Below are 22973 nucleotides of genomic sequence, written 5' to 3'. Positions count from 1 at the left end.
GCCTCTCCCAGCCTGGGGGTGGTGCCGCCCTCCACACTTGGGGTGTCCTGTGGGTATTCCAGGCAGAACACCCCAGCTAGACACTCCCAGGCTCCCCAGCTATTAACTCCCGCCATCCCCCCCCCACACACACACAGACACACACACACACACACACACACACACACACACACACACACACACACACGTGGGGCAGTGCCCTCCCAGAACCTGAGGCAGGTGCAGAAGCCTCTGTGCCTGTCCAGGAAGGGAGGAGCCAGGAGGACCCAAGAACTGCACCCTGGTTCTCTCCAACCCCCTGCCCTGGCTGGAGGCAAATGGGAAGCAGTAAGCTTCTGCCCAGAAACTTTCCTATGCATTTGATGCTCCAAATAAGAAGATGACACAGAACGGCTCCCTGAGCAGAGGCTGGGCCCCAGAGTTCCCAGCCTCGGGGGGTGCCCTCCGGAGTGGGGGGGGGCTCATAGGGAGGACCACACAGGGGAGGTGGCCTTTTGCATCTTGAGGGGAGGTGGAGGCCAGGGACTTGGGTGGAATCTCAGGTCTTAGGAGAGGGCTCCCCTTAGGGGCTGGGGCTGAAGCCAGGGGCTCTGGGGTATGAGTGCCCAGGACAGATTCCACCCCTCTGCCAGCCCAGCCAGCTTTCCAGGGCCCTTGTCTACCCTCCTGGCCTCATGCATGCCTGAGGGAGGTGCACGCCGGCGGCAGCCTATCCCGCCGGCCTGGAGCCATCTCTGCACCAGTGGCCGCCCTGTGGGGAACCCCATTAGGGTGTCCTCGGACCCCAAAGGCCCCAAGGTTTCTGGATGCTTCCTTTGGAAACCTAGAAACTCCACAAGTGTCTGGCCACAGTCTTCTGGCCCCAGGCGGTGGAAAGTCTCCCGGGCTGCTGTCTGTGAAGCGAGCCCTGTTTTGCCGGGAGGGGGAGTGTCTCGCTCGCTCCAGCTGTGAAGAGCAGCCTCCACCCTCTGTTTGTCTTTGGGGCTGGAGCTGCAGGGTCAGCCTGGAGCCGCTGCCACAGGGCATCCTGCAAACTTGCCCCACTCACATCCACGCTTACCAGTGGGAGCTCTCACTGCACAGCCAGATGCTGGCTGGGCAAGCACTCGCGTTCTTGGGCCTGACCTGGGGCACTTTCCAGAGCCTGGCCATCCCCCGGATTACAGAATGTGGCCTCTCCTGTTCTCAGGTAAGCTCCTGCCTCCTCCTAGGCCCCTACACTGTGGCAGATAAGGCCCTGGTTTCTCCTCAGGTGGGTCTGGCCTGACGCTCTCAGCACATCAGCAGGTGAGGGGTTGCAGGGCCCTGGGGGGTCCGAGGGCAGCGCTGGTGAAAGAAGGATGGGAGACCTGGCCTGACCCTGCCGAGCTGCTCCGGGAAGTGTTTGCTGGAAGCTCAAGGCAGGGTGAGCCCACCTCGGACCCACCTGTGACCTCCAAGGAGGCTGTGTTAGAATCTAGGGCAGCCCGCAAGCCCATCCGGGGCTCCCACCCCACCCCGCTCGGCTGCTCTGAGCCATCGGGAGCCCGCAACACCTGGGCTTGTGTAGACACCTGCCAAGGAAACACTCGGAGAACGTGCTGAGAATGAGATGTTGGCAGTGGAGGTGGCTGGGTTGGGGTGGAGGGCTCTCACTGCACAGCCCACTCACTCAGCCTTACAGGAGAGGGCGCTTCATCAGCACCTGCAGCAGGAAGTGTACCCAGCATCCCAGGAAGGGGCCCCGGTGCCCAAGGCTGGCCGGGCACAGTGGGGACACAGGCATGGAAAGGGCACAGAAGGTGTCCCGGAAAGGGAGGACTCACTGAGGACCTGCTGGGTGCACCGTTCCTGGCATGGGGACAGCAGTTAGCAAGATGTGCCTTTAGGGTGGTGGCCTGGTCACCTCAGGGGACACTTGCGGGGACATCCAGCAGCTCCACAGGGCCTGAGACGGGTCCAGCAGAGGGCTCAGCTCAGGGAGGGGAGCAGCAAGGGCTGGAGTGCTGGGTGCCATGGGCAGGCTCAGATCCACAGGGCATTCGTGGAACAAGGAAGAAAGCAGGCTGGGATGCGTGGGAACCGGTGGCAGCAGGGGAGATGGGCGGGTTCAGGTGGGAGGGGTGTCCACCGGATGCCACCCTGCAGTGGAGATGGAAAACAGGGAGGGGGCAGGCCTGGGGATCCTGGCTAGGAGGGGGAAGGAGAAGCGAGAGATGAGACCTCAGAATCGACTTTTGCCTCTGGGAGGAAATGGTCCCTGAGTTGGGAGACATGGGGGGAGGCGGCCTTGAAGTGCAAGCTGGAAAGCTTTGCTGAGGCGGCTGCGGGGTATGCAGGCAGCCTCCCGGTCCGAGGTGTGACCGCGCTGTCCACGCTAGGACGGCCAGGTGATCCTGGGGAATGGGTGGGGACCAAGATTGAACCCTCAGTACTCCAAGGAAAGGGGCAGGGGCAAGGGCAGGGGCTGAGGCGGGTGGAAGAGGCCAGGAAGGAGGGGAAGTGCTGGAGGGGAGAGGAGAGGAGGGGTTTGGCGGGGCTGAGGGAGGGTCTCATGGAAGATGGGGTGGGGAGGGTTGAGCAGGAGGGGTCAAGGGGTGACAAGAGGAGCGGGAAGCTGGAGGTGGGTGTAGGGGCGCTGCCTGGGCAGCCTTGGACAGGGCGGTGGTTGCGAGGGGGCGCGGGAGCCCCTGCCCGCGGGGGGAAGCCAGGGAGGGGAGGCTGGGGCTACAGCCGCGCCCTGGGGGGGGACCCGCGCGGGTGACGGCGGGAGGCTGGGCCGCATGCAGGGGAGCTTGGGCGGGGTGGGGCCGCGAGCAGCCGCCCTGGGGGTTCCCTGCACACCCCCCGACGCCGGCCGCTGGGAAGCCCCGAGAAGCACGACGGAAAACCCCGTGCGGGGGAGGCGCCCAGCGCCCGGGCTCAGCCCCCCCCCGCCCCCGCTCCCCCCACCTTCCCCCCAGCGCGCCCGGGTCCCGCTCCCCGTGCCGTGGGGCAGGGGCGGGGCAGAACCGCGCGACGTTCCGCGCCCCCGACAGCGGCTTCTCCTGCAGCCCCAGACACTCGGGCCACGGGGCCAGCCCTGGGTGGGCTTCAGAGTCCAGGAAGTCAGGAGAGAGAGCAGACGCCCTTCGCCTCTCCAGCCCACCCCGGCCTCCGAGCCCCCAGCGGGGATTCTTTCTCTCCTGAAGGTGGATGCGGGGAGTCCAGGCCACAGTGGGCGCCCAGAGGGGCTTCAGGGCACCTGGCGGGAGGGAGGCCCGGGGACCCACGCCACTGCCCCCCTGCAGTTCCACACAGGCGGCCTCACTGGGCCTCCCCACGCTGCCTCCGCCGCTCCCTCTGTGCCCGGGCTGGTCTGGGCTGCCCTCGCCTGCCCACCTGAGGCCTGCTCGGATCCCGTTCCCCAGAGGCTGCCCCGGGTGAGCCCGGCCCCTTTTGCCTGGGCGGAGCCCTCAGCAGCCTGGGGTCAGCTCCGCCGGCCCCTCGTTTGAGGCCCTGCTCCCCACCAGGGGCCGAGGCCGGGGCTTCCATCAGGACGCTGGGTCCAGCCTGTATACTCCGCCCACGGGCGGCGGGTTTCGTGGCCATGGCAGGCGGAGGAGGGTCACTCACGGCAGTCTCTGGGGAGTTATTGGGGTGGTCGGCAAATGGGTAGAGACGGTGGGGTGAGAACGAAGACTCAGAGGCCATCTGCAGGGTGGGGTCCTGCGCTGGACCCTGGAACAGAAAACAGTTCACTAGTAGCACGTGATTCCACACCAGACTGAGGGTCACTGACTGCCGCCGATTCCACACCAGACTGAGGGTCACTGACTGCCGCCGATTCCACACCAGACTGAGGGTCACTGACTGCCGCCACCCATGTGGCTCCCCAGGTTTTGCAGATGCACGGGAAACTGTTGAGATGAGGGGATCCTGGGTAAACTCTCTGTAAATCTAAACATATTCCAAAATAAAAAATATTTAGAAGGAGGTGTAGCCACCGGTAATGCCCGCTCCACAATTCAAGGAACAGAAGTGGGCCCGACTTTTATTTTTCCGTGTTCCCACCTGGGCTAGGAGCAGAAGTCCAGGTCTCCATCTTGAGCTCCCCCCACCCCCACCCCCACCCCGACAGCCTGGGCTTCCCCGTCCGGTCTGTAGAGGGTCAGCTCTTTTCAAGAATGGAGCGGCTGTGTTGACCGCGGGCTGCACAGTCCAACACCCCAGGCTCAGTGGCCGCCCCCAGGGGGCCTGGACTCTGGGGGTCCTGCCCTGCTCTGAGGGCGCCAGTGCCACCCTGTGCTCTCGGACCTCAGCTCCCACGCCGTTGGTGCCGGGGTGCCGGGCGCCTTCTGCCTCACCCACAGGCTGTCTGCGAGCAGCCTGTCCCACAGGACCCTTCTGCCCCGTGGGAGCCTGGCCACAAGTCCTCATGCCCCTCTTTGAGTGCCCTTGGTCAGGTTGGGCTGGGGATGATCATAAATCAGGAGTGCAGCTTGGACCTGGACCATCCAGGACCTGTTCACTGCACGGCATGCCCCCGCCCCGCACCACCAACTCAGCCTCACTTGCTTCCAGGCCCATGAAATTGACCTCTATGAGGCCCCCCAAGCACCCCTTAGATTTATAACCTGCACCCCCCACACTATCCGGACCCCTCTTGCTCCTCCTGACCCCTCTGTTATTTTCCCACCCCTTTATTTTAGTTACACAGAATATAAGTTGCTGATTTCCCAGGTTTCGGATCGTTCTGTCTCCCCCTTCTCGGAATGTGAGCTCCTGGAGAGGTGGGGATGGTTCAGTTTTCCTCTGTTCATGAATCCCAGCACCTAAGCGAGCCTGGCACGTAGTGGGTGCTCTGCTAGTGTCCACTTAAACGCACAAGTGGGTCGGGGAGCTGGGGCCTGAGGGTCCAGAGGGATTCAGACCACACTGTTTACTAAGTGACCGCCGCATGCCAGCCTTGGGCCAGGCCCCTGACACTGAGGAGAAGCCAGGATTCAGGGCAGCCCAGGACCCCCAGGAGTGAGGGACAGGGCAGGAGCAGGATGGGCTGGGGAGGGGGTGCCCTCAGCCGCTCACCCCTCTCACTGTTCTGTCCCCAGGGCTTTGCCTGCAGGAGCCACAGGAACCGTGAGTACATCTCAGCCCCGGGGGATGCTCAGGGCCTGGACTCCCCACCCCAGGCTACCAGGGCCGCTTTGTCCACCGTGGGAGGCAGGTCTGTCCTGCAGTGTCCCCAGCAGCTGGGGTTCCCTTCTGGGCAGGGCAAACCTCTATCACTCACCGATGCGTGTGGGACCCTGGCCACACCCAGGCAAGGCCACCCTGGCTCCTGGCCAGAGGTGGGCCTGCCAGAGAGTCCCACGTCTCCACTTAACGCACAATGCCTCGTTGCGTTCCAAACCGGCCGCCCAGAAGCAGCAGGTGGAAAACCCCGTCTCCTCTAGCAAAGCTTTTTCCCTGTGTAAAGTGATCCCTACTGGGCCTTTAACAACTACCTTGTCTTTGTTAAACAGCGTATCTATTTATAAAAGGACTCTGAGTGATGCAGATGCCACAAGGAAGAAAGTTAAGGCTCACTGGAAAGCCTCCATGTAGAAATAAACAGTGTTTACCTAGGCAAACATTGCTCTAGGCATTTTGGGGTTTTTTTTCTTATTTTTGATTTTCATAGGAATAGACCTGAAGTCTTCCTATCTCTGGTTGGTCAACCAAACCCAGGCTGTTCTCAAACTCCTGGGCTCAAGCGATCCTCCTGCCTCGGCCTCCCAAAGTGCTGGGATTGTGAACTTGAGCCACCATGCCTGGCCTGTTCTAGACATTTGTGTAGCCAAATATACAGATATTTGCAGGATAAACAGATAAAAATTATTTTATAGAAATGAAATTACCTTATGTCATTTAAACTATTTTATTTTTACTTGAATTTAACAGAAAAATAGATGGCTAAACTTTACTTAAATGTTTCTTCACCTCAAGGACCTCTAAGCTTAAGGGAGGAGATTAGATCAGCTTGGCCCCTGCGCAAGGATGACATGCAAATTCACAAAGCGGACTATAGTAACAAACAAACAACAAATGCAAAGCATGGCTGATGCGGTGGCTCACACCTGTAATCCCAGCACTTTGGGAGGCCGAGGCAGGTGGATCACCTGACGTCAGGAGTTCGAGACCAGCCTGGCCAACATGGTGAAACCTGTCTGTACTAAGAATCCCCCCCCCAAAAAAATTAACTGAGTGTGGTGGCACTTGCCTGTAATCCCAGCTACCTGGGAGGCTGAGGCAAGAGAATCACTCGAACCCAGGAGGCAGAGGTTGTAGTGAGCCAAGATTGCACCATTGCACTCCAGCCTGGGCAATGGAGTGAGACTCTGCCTCATAAAAACATAAATAAACAAATAAAAGATAAAGCTCTTTAGTATTTCTAATAGATTTCCTATGGAGTCTCCTTTTTTAATGATGATCACATATTCTGCAGCTAATGACAGCTCATAAACCTACGCATTGGGTGGAGGGGGCGGATCTTGTGGAATTGGCTCAGCTCTCCAGGGCAATGGTGAATGAGGGAATTCCTGTTTGAGTCCTGATATTAATAGTAATGATTCCAAAGGTTTACTGTTCAGTATTAAGTTTATTGGATGTTTGCACTAGATGTCCCTGATCTAGACAAAGAGGTGCCTTTCTTTTCCTAGTTTGCTAAACATTCTTTCATCATGAATAGGTATTGAATTTTATGAAAAATTTCTGCATCTATGAAAATTGTCATATAGGTTTTTTAGTTTAACATCCCCTCCCTTTTTTTTTTTTTTTTTGAGACAGAGTCTCACTGTTTTGCCCACGCTGAAGTGCAGTGGTGCAATCTTGGCTCACTGCAACCTCTGCCTCCTGGGCTCAAGCAATTCACCTGCCTCAGCCTCCTGAGTAGCTGGGATTACAGGCATGTGCCACCATGCCTGGGTAATTTTTTGTGTATTTTTAGTAGAGACAGAGTTTCACCATGTTGGCCAGGCTGGTCTCGATCTCTTGACCTCATGATCCGCCCGCCTCGGCCTCCCAAAGTGCTGGGATTACAGGCGTGAGCCACTGCGCCCGGCCCCAATCTGCTCTTAAAAATCACCCGTTGTATTTTAATTCTGTCGTGGTGGTTTTGTTTCTAGGAATTCCATTTCTCTCAAGTGTGCCTGGTCCCTCATCACAGCCTTTCCTGCTGCCTGTATTTTCAAGCCTGTTTTTTCGCCTGCTTGGCCTGTGGCTTGTTACTGGAGGACACCTGGGCCCACCCTCTCCACAGCGTCACTCTGGGCTCTCTGCTTCCTGGTGTGCTTGTTTACCTTCAGCGGCTCAACGTCCCAGGACTCAGGGCCTCCCGGAGGCTGGATTCCTGTTGCTCCTGGGTGGTGCCAGGAGCAGTGTCTGACTGTCGGGGCCGTTTAAACCAGATTCACAGACTGAGGTTTCATGGGTCTTCCTGGTGGGCCCAACCTGGGCTGTGAATCTGTACTGGGTTGTGGGCTTTGGGGGAGCTTTCTCTCCCTGCTCCTCCACTCAGCGAGTCTGGAACAGTGCCTGGGCTTTGGGGAGAGGGTTGGTCCAGCTCTGGCTAACCCAGGTCAAGGCCTAGCTCAACGTGGGGAAGTTCTTCCTCACCATGTGCTGGGGCCTCCCCACAAAGCCCTCAGCTCCCACTGGGTTGGAAACGTTCCCTCCATCCTCCACCCCTGTAAAGCAACCTCCTACGCCCTGCTTTCCTCAGCACCCCCATCCTGATTATTTTCGCAGCTCTCCTACGTTTCTAGGAAGGTTTTTAAAAAAACATATGTTTTTTTCTCCAGCCCAATTGGTACTTTTCAGCAGTTGAGTTGGTGCAAATGGCCGGGTCTCCCATATGAGGGAAGTGTAGTCCCAGGGTGTTTTTATTTTTATTTTTGGTATATTTTATTTTTTTATTTTCTGGGGGGTAGGGGGACAAGGTCTCGCTTTGTTGCCCAGGCTGGAGTACAGTGGCGCAATCTCGGCTCACTGCAACTTCCGCCTCCCGGATTCAAGGGATTCTCCTGCCTTAGCCTCTCAAGTAGCTGGAATTACAGGCGCCCAGCAGCACCATGCCCAGCTAATCATTGTATTTTTAGCAGAGACGGGGTTTCACCATGTTGGCCAGGCTGGTCTCGAACTCCTGACCCGAAGTGATCCGCCCGCCTCGACCTCCCGAAGTGCTGGGATTACAGGCGTGAGCCACCGCGCCCGGCCCAGGTATTTTTAAACACACAGAGTTGTCCTCAGCCTCCTCCTCTGTCAACACCAGCTTGAATTCCCAATTCCCCATCGTGTTTTCCCATTCCCTGCTCCTCGCTGCTCCTTTCTGTAACCCACTTGTTCCTGTTGAGCTCCCTTCTCCTTCCTGAAGCAAGCACATCTGTTAGGCGTTTTTTCAGTAAGACTCTGTGGATATTATTTTTATGCCTTATTTTGAATAAGGCAAAACATATTTATTGCTAAGTGTTTATGATGAATTGTAGTTTCACAGTTTTTTCCACACAGTAACAATGAATTCTGTTTTGTACCACACTAATCTTGTGTGTTTCTGCTTTACTCACCCTTCCTTCTACACAGCCTCCTCTTCATTTTGTCAGCTTAGTTGGGACAAGATCCTGTTCTTATTTTTATACATTTTATTTCACAATGAGCAGCTTCTCCTCCTGCGCCCGTTTCACTAACTCTGTATATGTCCTCATTTTCCTTGCTCACCGTGAGTCCTTCTCCTCCGTGGCTTCACCTTTTTTTTTTTTTTTTTTTTTTACTTTCTGGTTTTGATTCTTTCTTGGTTGCCTGGAATAAGTCTTTGTCTTTTTTCTAGAAAGGGTCAAAAGATGCAGATTTCTCATTTCTTGCATAAAGGAGGTTGTCTTTTTTTTTTTGAGATGGAGTCTTGCTCTGTCATCCAGGCTGGAGTGCAGTGGCATGATCTCTTCTCACTGCAACCTCTGCCTCCCTTCCTCTCCTACCTCAGCCTCCCGAGTAGCTAGGACTACAGGTGTGTACCACCACACCTGGCAAATTTTTGTATTTTTAGTAGAGACAGGGTTTCACCATGTTGGCCAGGCTGGTCTCGAACCCCTGACCTCTGGTGATCTGCCCTCCTCGGCCTCCCAAAGTGCTAGGATTAAAGGGGAGTTGTTGGCCTCACACATATGGATGACAACATACACACCGAGCTCTAAGGCACAGTCATTTCTCTGAAGATTGCTGCATACCAAGCCCCGGGGATGATGCTCCAAGGGAAGGAAACACCAGCCTTGGGAACAAAGCTCCCCTCACTCCCCTCCCCACTCCCTAGCACAGCCTGGCTTTTTATCCCCAAACCATCCAGCTTTATTTTTAAATTTTCAATTTCTAGTTATTCTTTGCTAGTATATAGAAATACAGTGTTTGGGAGGCTGAGGCAGGTGGATCACTTGCCGTCAGGAGTTCAAGACCAGCCTGGCCAACATGGCGAAACCCTGTCTCCACCACAAATTAAAAAATTAGTCGGGTGTGGTGGTACGCACCTGTAGTCCTAGCTACTCAGGAGGCTGAGACACAAGAATCGCTTGAACCCGGGAAGCAGAGGTTGCAGTGAGCCGAGATCGCACCACTGCACTTCAGCCTGGGCAACAGAGTGAGGCTCTGTCTCAAAAAAAACACAAAAAAACAAAAAACTAAAACAAACAAAAAAGAAATAGTGGATTTTTGTATATTGATCTTGTATTCTGCAACTTTGCTAAACTTATTAGTTTCAGTGCCTTTTTTGTAGATACTAGTGTTTTCTACAGAGACAATCATGTCATCTACAAGGGTACACAACTTTCCTTCTTCATTTCAAAGCGAGAAGCCTATTTCTTTTCCTGCCTCATTGTGTGGAGTAGGGTCCCCCCTGCAGTATTGAGTCGAAGTGAGAAGAGCAGGGATCCTTGTCTTGTTTTTTATCTGAGGGGTGGAAATAATCTATTATTTCACTGAGAAATGTTATGTTACATATAGATTTTTCACAGATCATCTTTATCAATTTGAGGAAATTTCATTCCCTGTTTGCTGATATTTTTTCTTTTTAATCGGGAATGGATGGTGAATTTTGTCAAAAAATTTTTCTGTGACTATTGAGATGATAAGTGGTTTTTAAAATTTTGTCAGTTGGGTGCAGTGGCCTCTCAAAGTGCTGGGAATACAGGTGTGATCCATGCCCAGCCTTTTTTTTTTTTTTTTTTTTTTTTGAGATGGAGTCTCACTCTGTCTCCAGGCTGGAGTGCAGTGGCACGATCTTGGCTCACTGCAACCTCTGCCTCCTGGGTTCAAGCGATTCTCCTGCCTCAGCTTCCTGAGTAGCTGGGATTACAGGCGTGAGCCACCACATCTGGCTAATTTTTGTATTTTTAGTAGAGACAGGTTTTACCATGTTGGCCAGGCTGGTCTCAAACTCCTGATCTCAGGTGATCCGCCCGCCTTGGCCTTCCAAAGTGCTGGGATTACAGGCATGAGCCCCGCCCGGCCCACTCCCTCAAATTCTCTTGGGTTGTTCTTTCTCCACCTCTGGTCGTTCCCTCACATGCCTGTGTTCATGAATACTCCACAGAGTATTAGCAAAGTGGATATTCTCCAGAGCTCTCTCTGCGTTATCCTCTCCCCTCTCATACTCGGTCCGGCTGCCCAGACTCTCTATCCCAGTTTCTCCTCTCAGGGAGTGTGCCAAGCTCCACTTGGGATCCACCCCCACCACTGCCTGAGAACACTCCCCAGACAGTGGCGCATTCCCAGAGCTCACTGTGGCCGTTTCCTGTCTCCCAGGACTCACTGTCCCTCACTTTCTCACGCCCACTTGTCTTGAAACCATTGCTCATGGATTTTGCCTTGGTTTCCCAGCTGTCTCAGGCAGGAGGATAAATCAGATCCCTGTGAGTCCATCCGGACTACAGTGGGAATTTGTAAGAGTTGGATTTCTGGCTGGGCGTGGTGGCTCACACCTGTTATCCCAGCACTTTGGGAGGCCGAGGTGGGCGGATCACCTGAGATCAGGAGTTTGAGACCAGCCTGGCCAGCATGGTGAAACCTTGTCTCTATTAAAAATACAAAAATTAGCTGGGCGTGGTGGTGCGTGCCTGTAATCCCGACTACTCGTGAGGCTGAGGCAGGAGAATTGCTTGAAGCTGGGAGGCGGAGGTTACAGTGACCTGAGATCACTCCACTATGCTCCAGCCTGGGCGTCAGAGCGGGACTGTCTCAAAAAAAAAAAAAAAAAAAGAAAAGAAAAGAAAGAGTTGGATTTCTTACCCATAGCATATTCGGACTTCATTCCCAGTGCCCCTTTGAGGCACAGAGTTACTGGGTGGAAGGTCTCAACCGTCAGTTGTCTAGGTTCTTGCTGTGTTGAACAAAACACACAAGTAAAGCAACAAAAAATAATGGAGTAAGGAGGGCACAGATTTACTGAAGCGAAGGAGCACTCCACAGAGCGGGAGCAGGCCGAAGCAAGCAGCCAAGGCCCCAAATGCAGTGCTCCGCAGGGTTTTCATAAAGCTAAAAGAATTTGGTAACACTCCTAGCTGCCCTTTGGAGGTTTCCAGTGGGTTACACCCTGTGGAGGATCGGCCTGCAACCAATCAGAGGCTGAAGTGAAGTCTCATTATCACAGGAGGGAGGCTGTGGCCTGTGCTGCCTAATCTTGCCTGGAACTGGCTGCACCTGCTGTTCTTTTGCTTCTCCCTTCACCCCCAGTTACCCTCATTCCTTACTCTCCTGCCTCAGCAGGGTGCTGTGTTCAGTGTGGGCTCCGCTGAGCAGCAGCCGCACTGTCTCACCAACAGCATGTGGGTCCCACGCCTCGGTGGCCATGCCTTCTATAAAGAGGGTGGCAGTCCTCCTGTGGAACAGCTGGGTTGCCAGGCTCTGTGGCTCACGTGAAGTTCTGCTCTGAGTCCCACCTGCAAACCTGGCTGAGCAAAGCCCCCAGTGCCCAAAATGATACCCAGCTCCACACTGCCCACGTCTGGTGAGGCTGCTCAGAATGGCGTTTGGTCTCAGAGCAGAAGGCCCTGGGGGCAAGTCCTCCCTGTGAGGATGCGGCCGCTTCCCTGTGGACAGAGGCCTGGGCTGCAGCAACCTTGGGGTCGCCTCCCAGGTGTCCCAGCAAGCCCGTGTTGGCCTTTTCTGCTGTTCGTCTTTGAGCAGAGTCGACAGAGCTTGCCAGCAAGTCGTGGTGGGCTTCCTGCCCCCTTGCTGGCCAGGTGGGGCAGCAGCTTCCACTGCTCTGATGCAGACTGGTGTGCAGCCTGCCCCCCTGACCCAGGCCCACTCCTGGGGTCCCACAGACATTTTGGAGTGTGTCTCGGGGTGGGGGCTCACCACATGCCAGGGGACTTGCTCTCCAGTTGGCCTGGGGCAAGATAGTAAAGACCCCCTGGCAAAGACTGCAGCCCCAGGGCTCTCTCCCCCTTCCCAGAACCACCCACAAAGCCTTTCCGAGCACCAGGGAACTCGAGGCCTCACGCTCCTTCTCCCTCCCCAGGGAACATTTTTAACAGCTTCTGCCGGCCACGCCCCGTGTCCATGTCCAGGTCAGTCCTGGAGGCCCTGACGTCCTCCACTGCCATGCAGTGTGTCCCCTCTGACGGCTGCGCGATGCTCCTGCGTGTACGCGCCTCCATCACCCTGCATGGTGAGAGGTGGCCTCGAGGGTGGGAGTTAACACCCGCAGGTCCAGCAGTGGGCCCAGGTGCCTTTTATTCCCATCAAACCTTGGGCGGCCTGGTGAGGGAGGGGGGCTGCTAACCGCACTTCACAGAGAGAAGGCAGAGGAACAGGGTCCCACGGCCCCGTCCGGAGCCAGGGGCGGCCCTGCTCTGATGCACCCTGCCGGGTCCTTCCTCCACCCAGAGCGCCTGCGGGGCCTGGAGGCCTGTGCCATGAGCCTGGACACCCAGGAGACGCAGTGTCAGAGCGTGTGGGTGGCCAGGGCCTCCCACCGGCAGCAGGGGGGGCAGCAGGTGAGGCCAAGGCAGGGCTCTGCCACCCAAGTCCCGAAGACTGGGCGCCACTCCTCCTGGGCGCCATCCCTGGCTCTAAGCTCCAGCCATGCAAGTGGAGCTGGCCGGGTGGGGTGGGCAGTGCCTCTGAGTCCACGCAGCTCACACCTGCACCTGCTCAGCTCCAAGTGCACTTTGGCTGCTTTGCGGTGAGCGTGGCCCAGCACCTCTATGTCACCCTGAGGACCATCCCTCATTTCTGCGGGGTCCAGCTGGACCAGAGGCACCTCGTGGAAGGTAGGGTCCCCAGGGCCCCCTGAGCACAGCTACCGTTCAGCCTCCAGGGCCTGGCTTGGGGTGGGACTTGCCCAGGGCAGGGGCCTGGCCCTCACACTGGACAGATCCCCGCAAGACCTCTGGCTTAATTCGAGGTCGCATGACAGAGGCACAGCGCGTGGATGGGGGGCGGGTGGAGGAGGATGGCCCCTGAGGGCAGGGCAGCCCGCACCCCGCCATTGCCTCTGCGGTTTGCAGACTGCGGAGAGGAGGACGTGGGGAGGAGCGTGCCCGACTGCCTCGGTGAGTTCCCTCCTTCGACGCCCCTGCGAAGACCCTCAGACGCTGCGACAGGCTTCCTCTCCCCGGGGTCTTCTGCCCCATTTGGGAAATCCTGAGGGGCCCTCGGGCGGGCGACTCCCAAACGTCTGAACCCAGCAGGAGCCACCACGTCGGGGCTCTCGGGACAGACAGAGCCCCGCGTCGGTGACCGCTGGTCCCAGCGCGGCCCCGACTTGCCGCCTCCTGCAGCGGGGAAGCTCAGCTACTGGGTGGACCGGAGGCGCAAGGCGATTCTGGTGCAAGTGCCCAGGGCCTCCGGGAGCCCCGACTACTACCTGCGGCTCTGCCTCAAGCGGTTCACCTGCGAGGACGCCGGCGCCCCTGTGCGAGTGAGCGCCCGCGCCCCGGGCCCCGGTCAGCCTTAGGCCCCGCCCACCTCCGCGCCCCGGGCCCCGGTCAGCCTTAGGCCCCGCCCACCCCGCGCCCCGCCCACCCCCCGCGCCCCGCCCCCGGCCAGGCCTAGGCCCCACCCACCTCCGCGCCCCGCCCCCGGCCAGGCCTGGGCCCCACCCACCTCCGCGCCCCGCCCCCGGCCAGGCCTAGGCCCCACCCACCTCCCGTCCCCGCTCCCGCCCCGTTCGGTGCAGGTCCCGCCCACCCCAGACCACCCCCGCCCTCCCGCGCGGCCCCTCAGCCGCCCTTTCTGGGTTGCAGGTGACCGCCAACAGCGTCTCCCAGGCCGTCTTCCTGCCCTACAGCCAGGAGCTGCCGTGCCTGTGCCTGGAGGTCGGTGGAGGTGTGGCCTGGACTTGGGGCGGGTGAGGGGAGCACAGGGATGGGTGGGCTGCGCTGACCCCAGCCCCTCCCACAGGGCTGGTCTGCGACCCCTGACGCGGTGCGGATCCAGATCTGCCCCTTTGAAAACGGCAAGTGTCCTGCGATGCCAACGGGCGGAAGGGTGGGAATGGCTGCGGCCAGTCTGACTCCACCATGAGGACTGACGTGGGGGGATGAGATAAGGAGCAGGCCCAGCCTAAATCCCTGAGCCTGCTCGGAAGGGCTTGTCACCAAGGGAACCTGCGCACAGATGTGGATGTGCATAAGTGTGTGTGTGTGTGCAATGTACATGTGTGCGCACGTGGACCAGCTCACCTGGGAAAACCAAGCCTGTCAAGAGGGGCTGTCTGAGGGGCACAAGAGAGACGTCCTGCTCTCGGTTCTGCTCAGCGACGCTGCACACACACACATGCACAGACACCCACGAACATACACGCCCATACACATGCACAGACACCCATGAACATACACGCCCATACACATGCACACACACATGCACAGACACCCATGAACATACACGCCCATACACATGCACACACATACACATGCACACGCACACCCACGCGCAGGCAGGCACACCCATGCATACGCACACCCACACCCATGGACACGCACCCATGCACACGCACCCATGCACATACACACCCATACACATGCAAACACGTACACATGCACACACACCCATGCACAGGCAGGCACACTCACGCACACCCATACCCATGACACCCATGCACAGGCAGGCACACTCACGCACACCCATACCCATGACACCCATGCAAACACGTACACATACACACACCCATGCACAGGCAGGCACACTCACGCACACCCATACCCATGACACCCATGCACAGGCACACACATAGGCGCACGCACCCATGCACATGCATATCCACACACATGCACATGCACCCATGCACACACGTGCACAGCCTTGAGCCAGGGCTCAGAGACCCATAGGACTGCGCTGGACCCTGGCCCAGTGGTCACTTGAGTGGGTGCTAGACCCCATGGGCCTGGCAGCCAGGGTAGGGCCCAACTGACCTGTGTTTCGGGGAGGGTTCCTGCAGACACTGAGGCACTGGAGGTGCTGTGGGACACGGTCTACTACCACCCGGAGAGCCAGACACTGAGCTGGGAGCCCGCCTGCCCTGTGAGTGGCCATGTGAGCCTGTGCTGGCGCCCGGGGCCGGGGGCCGGCTGCCGTAAGCTGCAGCAATCCAGCCAGCTGGTGCATCGCAGAGTGAGTGCCTGCTCAGCAGGGATGGGGGTGGGCATGGATGCCACAGCCTGACCCCAGCCCTCCTCAGGTGCAGTACCCGCTGGTGGACACCCAGCCCCAGCTCTGCCTGAAGGTGAGGGGCTGCCACAGCCTGCCAGTGCCCTATTTGGGGAGGGGCCAGGGGGCATCAGGGCGGGGAGTGGGGCAGGGGCCCTTGCCCAGCCCTGGAGCCTAGCCTCCCAGGCGTCCCTCAGAGCCCCCTCCTGGTCTGACAGTGGGTGAGCTAAGGGCCTAAGGAGGAGAACTGGGCCCAGAGCACCCTGAAGCTGACCCAGCCTGTCCCTGTCCCTGCCCCTGTCCCTGCCCCTGCCTCACACACACTCCACCCTCCTGCACCCCTCACCCCACTTTGCAGTTCTCTACCAGTTGGGGGTCCTGGGTGCGGTGCCCTTTCGAACAGCGTCGCTTCCCAAGTAAGTTCTCCATGAGGCCTACGCAATGTGGACGCAGCACAGAACATCCTTTATATCACTCTGTGCTGGTCAGGGAGGTGGAATAACGGTGCCAAGCCAGTGTGGGGGAGGTACAGTGGGCAGGCGCCAGGCCCACTGGGGAAGGAAGGGAGGCGGTGGGGTGCTGGGCCGGATGGGGGTCTCACCCTTCACTCCCCACAGCCTGGAAAATGACCATCCAGCCTTCGCCCACAAAGGGCCACCTCCGGGTCACCTTCTTCTCGTCCAGCCCCGCCCACTTCCAGGTGCACCTGTGTCACAGGAGGAAGTCACAGCTCCCTGCCTGCCAACGCACACTCCAGGCCAGCCCGCTCCCTTCAGCCTCAGTGAGCCGAGAGAGTGGGGCTCCATCCTGGGGAGGTGGGGGTGGTGGCGGCAGGACCCCATCACTTCCCTGTGGTGGTCTCTGCCCCACCCGGGCCCTGAGCCCACCCAGGGTCTAGTCTACCTGGCAGGGAGGGATGGGAGGCCAGCCCTGCTTTGTGGGTGCTGAGAGGATGTGGGAGAAGGACAGTGTTTAGCCTGATCCACCCTTCCTCCCATTGCCTGTGACCTGCCCTCCCCCACCCAGGGTGACCTGGCAGCCGCCCCTGCTTTTGCCTTCCTAGACCTTCCCAGGGAGGAGGCCTGTGCCCCAGGCATCTGCATCCAGGTGGGTGTCGCTGCTGTGCCCAGCCCCTAGCCATCTCCTCCACTGCAGGACCTCAGTTCACACCCCCCCTTCCCATCCCCCATCCCCGGGGGAAGCAGGAGGCCATGTTGACGGAGCTGCCTTATGCCTGCAGGGCTGGAGGACCGATGTACACTTCTCCGTCCCCCAGCAGCTCTGCAACCTCCGCTCCAGTGGGTGCCCATCTCTCAGGGGCCGCAGGAGGCCGAGGACTAGACCTAGGCCTCCCACGGCAGGCTGGGCGTGGCGTGCACTGAACAGGAGACTGGGTGGGGGAAACGGGGAGACCATCCGGCCCTGAGTCAGGTCAGGCTTCTGCGCCAAACCCAGGTCTGTGCCCAGCACTGCCCTCCAGCCTTGCATTTCCCTCCACCACACACCGCTGGGCCTCCCGCACGCCCACCCTGGTCTCACTGTCACTGGCCTTGCCTCCTCCTCCCTGGGGGTCCACCTTCCCTGATCAGAGCTCTGGTTCCAACCGCCAGTGACTTGGGATGTCCCTTTGCCCACCAGCCACTGAGGCCCAGGCTCCCAGGACCCAGGGTACATCAGGACAGGACTCTGCCCAGTGGACAGAACTAAGCACATGTGGCCTGGGTGTGGTCAGGAGCGTGGCTCTGCCTTGGAGTCCAGGAAGGGTCAGAGCTGGCACTCCTACCTGCACCCCTCCCTGTGAGCAAAAGAGCTTGCCTAGCTTCGGGTGGGGTGAACCGCAACAGCCACAGAGGTGGGAGGGGTGGGAGGGGGTGGATAGGACAGCCTGGCACCCAGGGCCTCTGGAGACCCTTTCCAGGGAGCACCAGTGGGCCAGGCAGGGGTCTCTGGAATGTCTCCTCAGCTCAGCTGAGCCACAGCCATTTCAGGGCAGCCTGCTGCCCACAGGACATGCCCAGGGCCGTGGCAGTACCCGCAGACCTTCAGCTCCCCCTTCTCCCAGCAAGACTTTTTGGCCAAGCCTAGGTCCCCCTCCCTAGCAAAGGTCACCTCCAGCAGATCACAGACTAAAGGGGCAATGGCCACCTGCTGGTCAGGTGTCCCTGGGGCTGGCACCTGCCACTGTGGAGTGCCCATGCTATGCTGGGCAAGTCCACGGCCCCAGGGACAGGCCTGGAGGCAGCAGGAGGACCGGGCCTGGCTCAGGTGGGGGGATCTGGGGGTCATACACACTCCTCTTGGGGCCAGGGTGGGCTCCTCCTTCACTTGTCTGCTGAGCCTCCCTGCAGATGGAAGGCTGCTGTCCACAGCCACTGGCACCCCAGGACTGGGCAGCCCCCTCCCCTTCCCTCACATGTCTCAGCCTCGCACAGTGGGGGCAGGGCTGGGAGGTGGTGTCCCAGCCAGTACCACCCCTACGTCTCTCTCCAGCTGCACCCACCCACATGGGACGGCAGCCTGAGGCCAGGAATCTCCTCACGAACAAGTAGGTGCCAGGGACACATTGCTGGGGGGCAGGAGGCCAAGGCACAGCCTCGGACAGCTGAGCCAGGCCCCCCTCCGAGAGTGTGGGGTGTTCTCACCTGACTGTGGGGCCTAGGCACCTGCTGGCTGTCCTGGGGCTACAGCTCCATGGGGCCCTCAGGGGCTCTGGGTCACATAAAAGACCTTCAGCCCTGTCCTGAGTCCCCTGGGAACAGCAGGAGCTGGGTGGGCTACCCCTTCCCCGGATGGCCCAGGTGCTGGACCCCAGCCTCCCTCTCAGACAATTCATGGTCATGGCCACTGTCCCTGGCCCTGAAGACAAGGCCCTGGCAGCTGCCTGGAGCTTCCCCAGTGCTCTGGGGTGCAGGGTGCAACCCCACCCTTCCTGTAGCTGATCAGGCCCGAGGTGGTCAAGGATCACCCCAGTTTCTGCCCAGGGCACCCCACACTGGCTGGAGTCCACCTCTCCTGTCTGTGCATCCTTGGGTGCTGAGCTTCACTGGGGCACCCGCCCCACTCGGACCCCTCCAGAGGGTCTCAGCTTCCCCAGATCCCAGCCCCACTCACCCAGCAACGGTCAGTCACTTCCTGTGGTCTCAGAGGCCACCTGCCTGGGGGCCACCTGCTGGGATGTGCGGTTCTCAGACATTCCAAGTGGCACATCCAGGTCCCAGCCAGGGGTGCCCAGCAGTGGCCTGTGCAGTGGGCCATGGGGTCGGCCCTTGAAGACTTCTCGTGTGGGTCACGTAGGCTCTCCGGCTTCCCCGCTGAGCCACCCTCTGGAGCCTGGACATCGTCTCACCTGAGTGCTGTGCAGGACCACATGCCCAGCCTGTCCCAGCGGTGGTCGCACCCCATCTGCAGATGCACTCCCACCGCAGTCTGGGCCCAGGCTGCCCTCTTCCAGCTGGCCGTGGGCCGCTGGGCCTTCTTTTCCCTCCTGCAACAGAGGCTGCTATGTCCCATAGACTGGAGAGGGGGCTGCAGAGCGAGTAAGTCCCCGCCACTCAGTAAACATTGGTCCAGGGGTAGCTGTTAAAATGGAGCTTGGGCCTGGCTGGATGGTGACGGCACCAGGGACAAGTCTGGAGTGCGGGTGTCGTGGAGCCATCCCCACCAGGCTGGACCCAAGAGCACCCCAAAGGCGTGGGAGGCCGCACCCCCATGGGCATGTGGGGGGCAGGGAGCACCTTGGGACTCAGGGGAGGTGCCGGGTCTCTGGGAGTGGATTTGAGGTCAGCGTCACATGGTGTGACCAGACATCCCCATCCAAGTGTCCCCATAAAGGACCAGTGGTGGAGACACCCTGGGGATGCGGAGGTCAGGCCAGGTGAGGGGCTTTAGAAGCTGGGTTTGAGCACCAGGGGCAGGGAGGCCAGTGGGGGGCATGGACAGGGTGTCCCTCCCTAACCTGGAGATCAGGGGCATGGGGGGATGCAGGCTGCCACTCGCCCAGGTGCCCTTCCCTAACCTGGAGATCAGGGGAATGGGGGGATACAGGCTGCCACTCACCCAGGTGCCCCTCCCTAGCCTGGGGGAGGTCAGGGGCACAGTGGGGGTGGGGGGCACAGCACAAGCTGCCACTCTGCTCTCTCCATGTCTCCTCTGGAGACCCCGTCCGCCCCCAGCCAGAAAACAAGTGTCCCGGCTCAGCAGGGCAGTCCCCGCCCCAGGTTCCTGCTCCTGCCTCCTGGACCAGCCAGGGGTGCTCCCTGTGGTGCACAAAGACCCCTGCTCTGACCCAGGGCTACTCCGGGAATCCTGGCCACCGTGGAGGTGGGGCTGGGGAGGATTGGCCAGACCAGGGTCACAGAGCTGAGCTCCTGCCTGACGGGTGTGGGCTCCCTCAAGCCTTCCACAGATGGGGGAAACTGAGTCTTTTCTTCTGCAGATGGGGGAAACTGAGTCTTTGGGGACTGTTAAGAGGCTGTGTTCAGATCTCAGCTGTCCTACTGTCCCTCCCAGACAAGGGAGGAACCTGCTGGAGGACACACGCGTGCTGCCACCAGGCGGCAGTGGCTCTTAGTGCTGGTGCTGAGCCGGATCAGCCGCCCCAGCACCCAACACGGAGCGCCCACAGCCCAGTGCACCCACCGCCTCCTTGGCCAGGGACGCTGCCCTCCCTCCACCACCACCGCCGGAAACCCACCCCCACACCTGCCAGGAGAAAAGTGCTGAGGACCCCGGGCCCCAGAAAGGGGGGTGCGGTAGGGGCGGGCAGGAGCACCTGTACTGGGGTGCACAGCCCTGCTCACATCTGGGCCACAGTATAACACGGGTGAGCCTTGGACGCCCGCCTGCCTCATTCACTCATGACACACAGCTGAGCAGGCCTTGGGCCCTGGGCCCCGACCCAGCACCGGGAACAAACAACACTGGCAAAGATCCCGGGCCCTGCAGCTGGGGGACCAAGTCTGGGGCTGCCTGGCACTAAGGAGGGTCTTGGGTCAGAGTGTCAGTGCTGACACCAGGACAGTCCCAGGCAAACTGGGATCATGGAGCTGACCTTTGCATGAGAGAGACAACCAGAGCCAAGTGACATAAGTAAGCGAGGGGGCGTGGCTGGTGCCAGTGTGGGGTGAGGAATGAGGCTGGGAGCACGATGGGGAGTGTGGGGAGCTGCAATCTGAAATAGGGTGGGTCTGGGCACGGTGGCTCCCGCCTGTAATCCCAGCACTTTGGGAGACCAAGGCGGGTGGATTACTTAAGGTCAGGAGTTTGAGACCACCTGGCCAACATGGGGAAACCCCAGCTCTACTAAAAATACAAAAATTAACCAGGCATTGTGGTGGGCACCTGTAATCCCAGCTACTCAGGAGGCTGAGGCAGGAGAATCGCTTGAACCCAGAAGGCAGAGGTTGCAGTGAGCTGAGATCATGCCACTGCACTCCATCCTGGGTGACTGAATGAGACACCATCTTAAAAATAATAAACTAAAAATTAAAATGAAATAAAATAGGGTGGGGCCAGGCATGGTGTTGCACACCTGTAATCCCAGCACTTTGGGAGGCCAAGGCAGGAGGATTGTTTGAGCCTGGGGGATTGAGGCTGCAGTGAGCCATGATTGCACCACTGCACTCCAGCCTGGGTAACAGAGCAAGACCCTATTTCAATAGATATAAAATTTCAAAAATAGGGTGGTCCCTGGGAGGCTCAGACAAGGTGATGTGTGAACAGAGACTGCAGAGGCAGGGCCTTTGCATTGCCCGGCTCTAACAGGGTCCCTGACTGCCTCACGGAAGAGCAGCGAGAGTCAGCTTGTGGAGGGCAGGCAGGTGGGGAGAAGTGCAGAAGGTGAGGCCTTCGGGGTGTCCTGGCACGCAAGTGTGAATAAAAGTGACCAACGTTTTGGCCTCAGCTCCTTGTGGACAAATTTGTGTCCACAAATTTGTGGAAAAATTCTTTGTGGACAAAGGATAGACAGAACTCAAAGTCATCCGTCTGCTCACTGAGATAAATGCATATCTGATTTCTTCCTTTGGAAAGGCTAATCAGAAACTCAAAAGAATGCAACTGTTTGTCTCTTATCTGTGACCCAGAAGCCCCCTCTCCAATTTGAATTGTCCCACTTTTCCAGACAGAACCAATGTACTTCTTACATATATTGACTGATGTCTCATTTCTCCTTATAATGTATAAAACCAAGCTGTGCCCGGACCACCTCAGGCACATGTCAGGACCTCCTGAGGCTGTGTCATGGGCTCGTGTCCTCAACCTTGGCCAAATAAACTTCCTGAATTGACGGACACTTGTCTCAGGTATTTGGGGGTCACAGATACATCTTTATATATTGTATGTCCATTAACATAGATTTATAATTACTGTTTTATGAGTTGGTCTTTTGAATCATAGAAAAAAACAGGAGTTACAAACCAAAACTATCATAATCCTTGATTTTCTATTTTCCTGTGTAGTTACCTTTACTTATACGACTGCCCTCTGGTCTCCAAGGCTTCTGATGAGAAATCTGCTAAAAATCTTATTGAGGCTCCTTTGTACGAGACCAGTTGCTTCTCTCTTGCTGCTTTGTCATTGTTTTTTTGACAGTTTGACAACAGTGTTTGTCACTGTGGATCTCTGAGTTTATCTGGCTTGCAGTTTGTTGAGATTCTGGGATATGTAGATTCATTTATTTCATCAAATTTGGGGAATTTGGGGATACTATTCCTTCAAGTTTAATTTTTTCTTCCCTTTTCTATTTCTCCTCTCCTTTCGGGACTCCTGTGAGGTGTATGCTGGTACACTCGATGGTGTCCCAGATCCCTCGGGTTATTCCATTTTTCTGCATCTTTTTTCTTTCTGCTCTTCAGAGTGGATAATTCCAATCGCCTTGTCTTCAGGTTCCCTGATCCTTTCTTCTATGTGCACAAATCTGACATTGAACCCCTCGAGTGAACTCTTCACTTCTTTCTTTTCTTTTTTGAGACAGTCTCACTATGTTGCCCAGGCTGCAGTGCAGTGGCATGAATGTGACTCACTGCAGCCTTGGCTTCCTGGGCTCAAGCAATCTTCCCACCTCAGCTTCCCAAGTAGCTGGGACTATAGGCATGCACCACCACACCTGGCAAATTAAAAAAAATTTTTTTTGTAAAGACAAGGTCTCACTATGTTGCCCAGGCTGGTCTTGAATTCCTGGGGTCAGCATCCCAAAGTGCTGGCATTACAGGTGTGAGCCACCGTGCCCAGCCGAATTCTTCATTTCTGCTATTTTGCTTTTCAGCTCCATATTGTCCATTTGGTTCCCTATTATAATTTATGTATCTTATTGACATTGCCTCTTAGTTCACACCTTGTTC

General features: G+C 57.9%; 1 protein-coding gene across 4 annotated transcripts, besides 6 other annotated features; it reads left to right on the top strand.

Annotated features, from left to right (window-relative positions):
* Positions 484-1084: an enhancer, noted in NCBI's record as "H3K4me1 hESC enhancer chr22:50451079-50451679 (GRCh37/hg19 assembly coordinates)". NCBI's record gives its function as "activates a minimal SCP1, AML or CMV promoter by ChIP-STARR-seq in naive H9 embryonic stem cells {active_cell/tissue: H9 hESC(naive)}" and the evidence as "EXISTENCE:reporter gene assay evidence [ECO:0000049][PMID:30033119]".
* IL17REL (interleukin 17 receptor E like) lies at positions 969-21923 on the top strand. Of its 4 annotated transcripts, XR_001755245.2 has the most exons (16): positions 969-1189; positions 5070-5097; positions 12503-12652; positions 12871-12980; positions 13142-13256; positions 13494-13538; positions 13767-13906; positions 14232-14303; positions 14389-14443; positions 15425-15597; positions 15665-15709; positions 15992-16049; positions 16251-16414; positions 16660-16740; positions 16874-19169; positions 20069-20891. XR_001755245.2 is itself a non-coding variant. In NM_001371416.1 (15 exons), the coding sequence occupies exons 1-14, from the start codon at positions 1088-1090 to the stop codon at positions 16694-16696; spliced, it is 1227 nt and encodes a 408-aa protein (NP_001358345.1). In that variant the 5' UTR covers positions 969-1087; the 3' UTR covers positions 16697-16740; positions 16874-21923. The 4 variants fall into 4 exon arrangements, 3 of the variants coding, with proteins under 3 accessions (NP_001358345.1, NP_001358346.1, NP_001001694.2); NM_001371416.1 differs by having other exon boundaries at positions 16318-16414; positions 16874-21923; NM_001371417.1 differs by having other exon boundaries at positions 16874-21923.
* Positions 2599-2648: a silencer, noted in NCBI's record as "silent region_13946". NCBI's record gives its function as "represses an Ori minimal core promoter by ATAC-STARR-seq in GM12878 lymphoblastoid cells {active_cell/tissue: GM12878}" and the evidence as "EXISTENCE:reporter gene assay evidence [ECO:0000049][PMID:35858748]".
* Positions 2659-2978: a silencer, noted in NCBI's record as "silent region_13945". NCBI's record gives its function as "represses an Ori minimal core promoter by ATAC-STARR-seq in GM12878 lymphoblastoid cells {active_cell/tissue: GM12878}" and the evidence as "EXISTENCE:reporter gene assay evidence [ECO:0000049][PMID:35858748]".
* Positions 11457-12414: an enhancer, noted in NCBI's record as "H3K4me1 hESC enhancer chr22:50439749-50440706 (GRCh37/hg19 assembly coordinates)". NCBI's record gives its function as "activates a minimal SCP1, AML or CMV promoter by ChIP-STARR-seq in primed H9 embryonic stem cells {active_cell/tissue: H9 hESC(primed)}" and the evidence as "EXISTENCE:reporter gene assay evidence [ECO:0000049][PMID:30033119]".
* Positions 12415-13374: an enhancer, noted in NCBI's record as "H3K27ac-H3K4me1 hESC enhancer chr22:50438789-50439748 (GRCh37/hg19 assembly coordinates)". NCBI's record gives its function as "activates a minimal SCP1, AML or CMV promoter by ChIP-STARR-seq in naive H9 embryonic stem cells {active_cell/tissue: H9 hESC(naive)}" and the evidence as "EXISTENCE:reporter gene assay evidence [ECO:0000049][PMID:30033119]".
* Positions 13375-14333: an enhancer, noted in NCBI's record as "H3K27ac-H3K4me1 hESC enhancer chr22:50437830-50438788 (GRCh37/hg19 assembly coordinates)". NCBI's record gives its function as "activates a minimal SCP1, AML or CMV promoter by ChIP-STARR-seq in naive H9 embryonic stem cells {active_cell/tissue: H9 hESC(naive)}" and the evidence as "EXISTENCE:reporter gene assay evidence [ECO:0000049][PMID:30033119]".
* Positions 21924-22973: the final 1050 nt, after the last annotated feature.

This window comes from Homo sapiens, chromosome 22 (genome assembly GCF_000001405.40).
Source record: "Homo sapiens chromosome 22, GRCh38.p14 Primary Assembly".
Classification (NCBI taxonomy): Eukaryota; Metazoa; Chordata; class Mammalia; order Primates; family Hominidae; genus Homo; species Homo sapiens.
The sequence above is the reverse complement of the archived record's forward strand: the minus strand, read 5'-3'. Positions and strand labels throughout refer to the sequence as shown.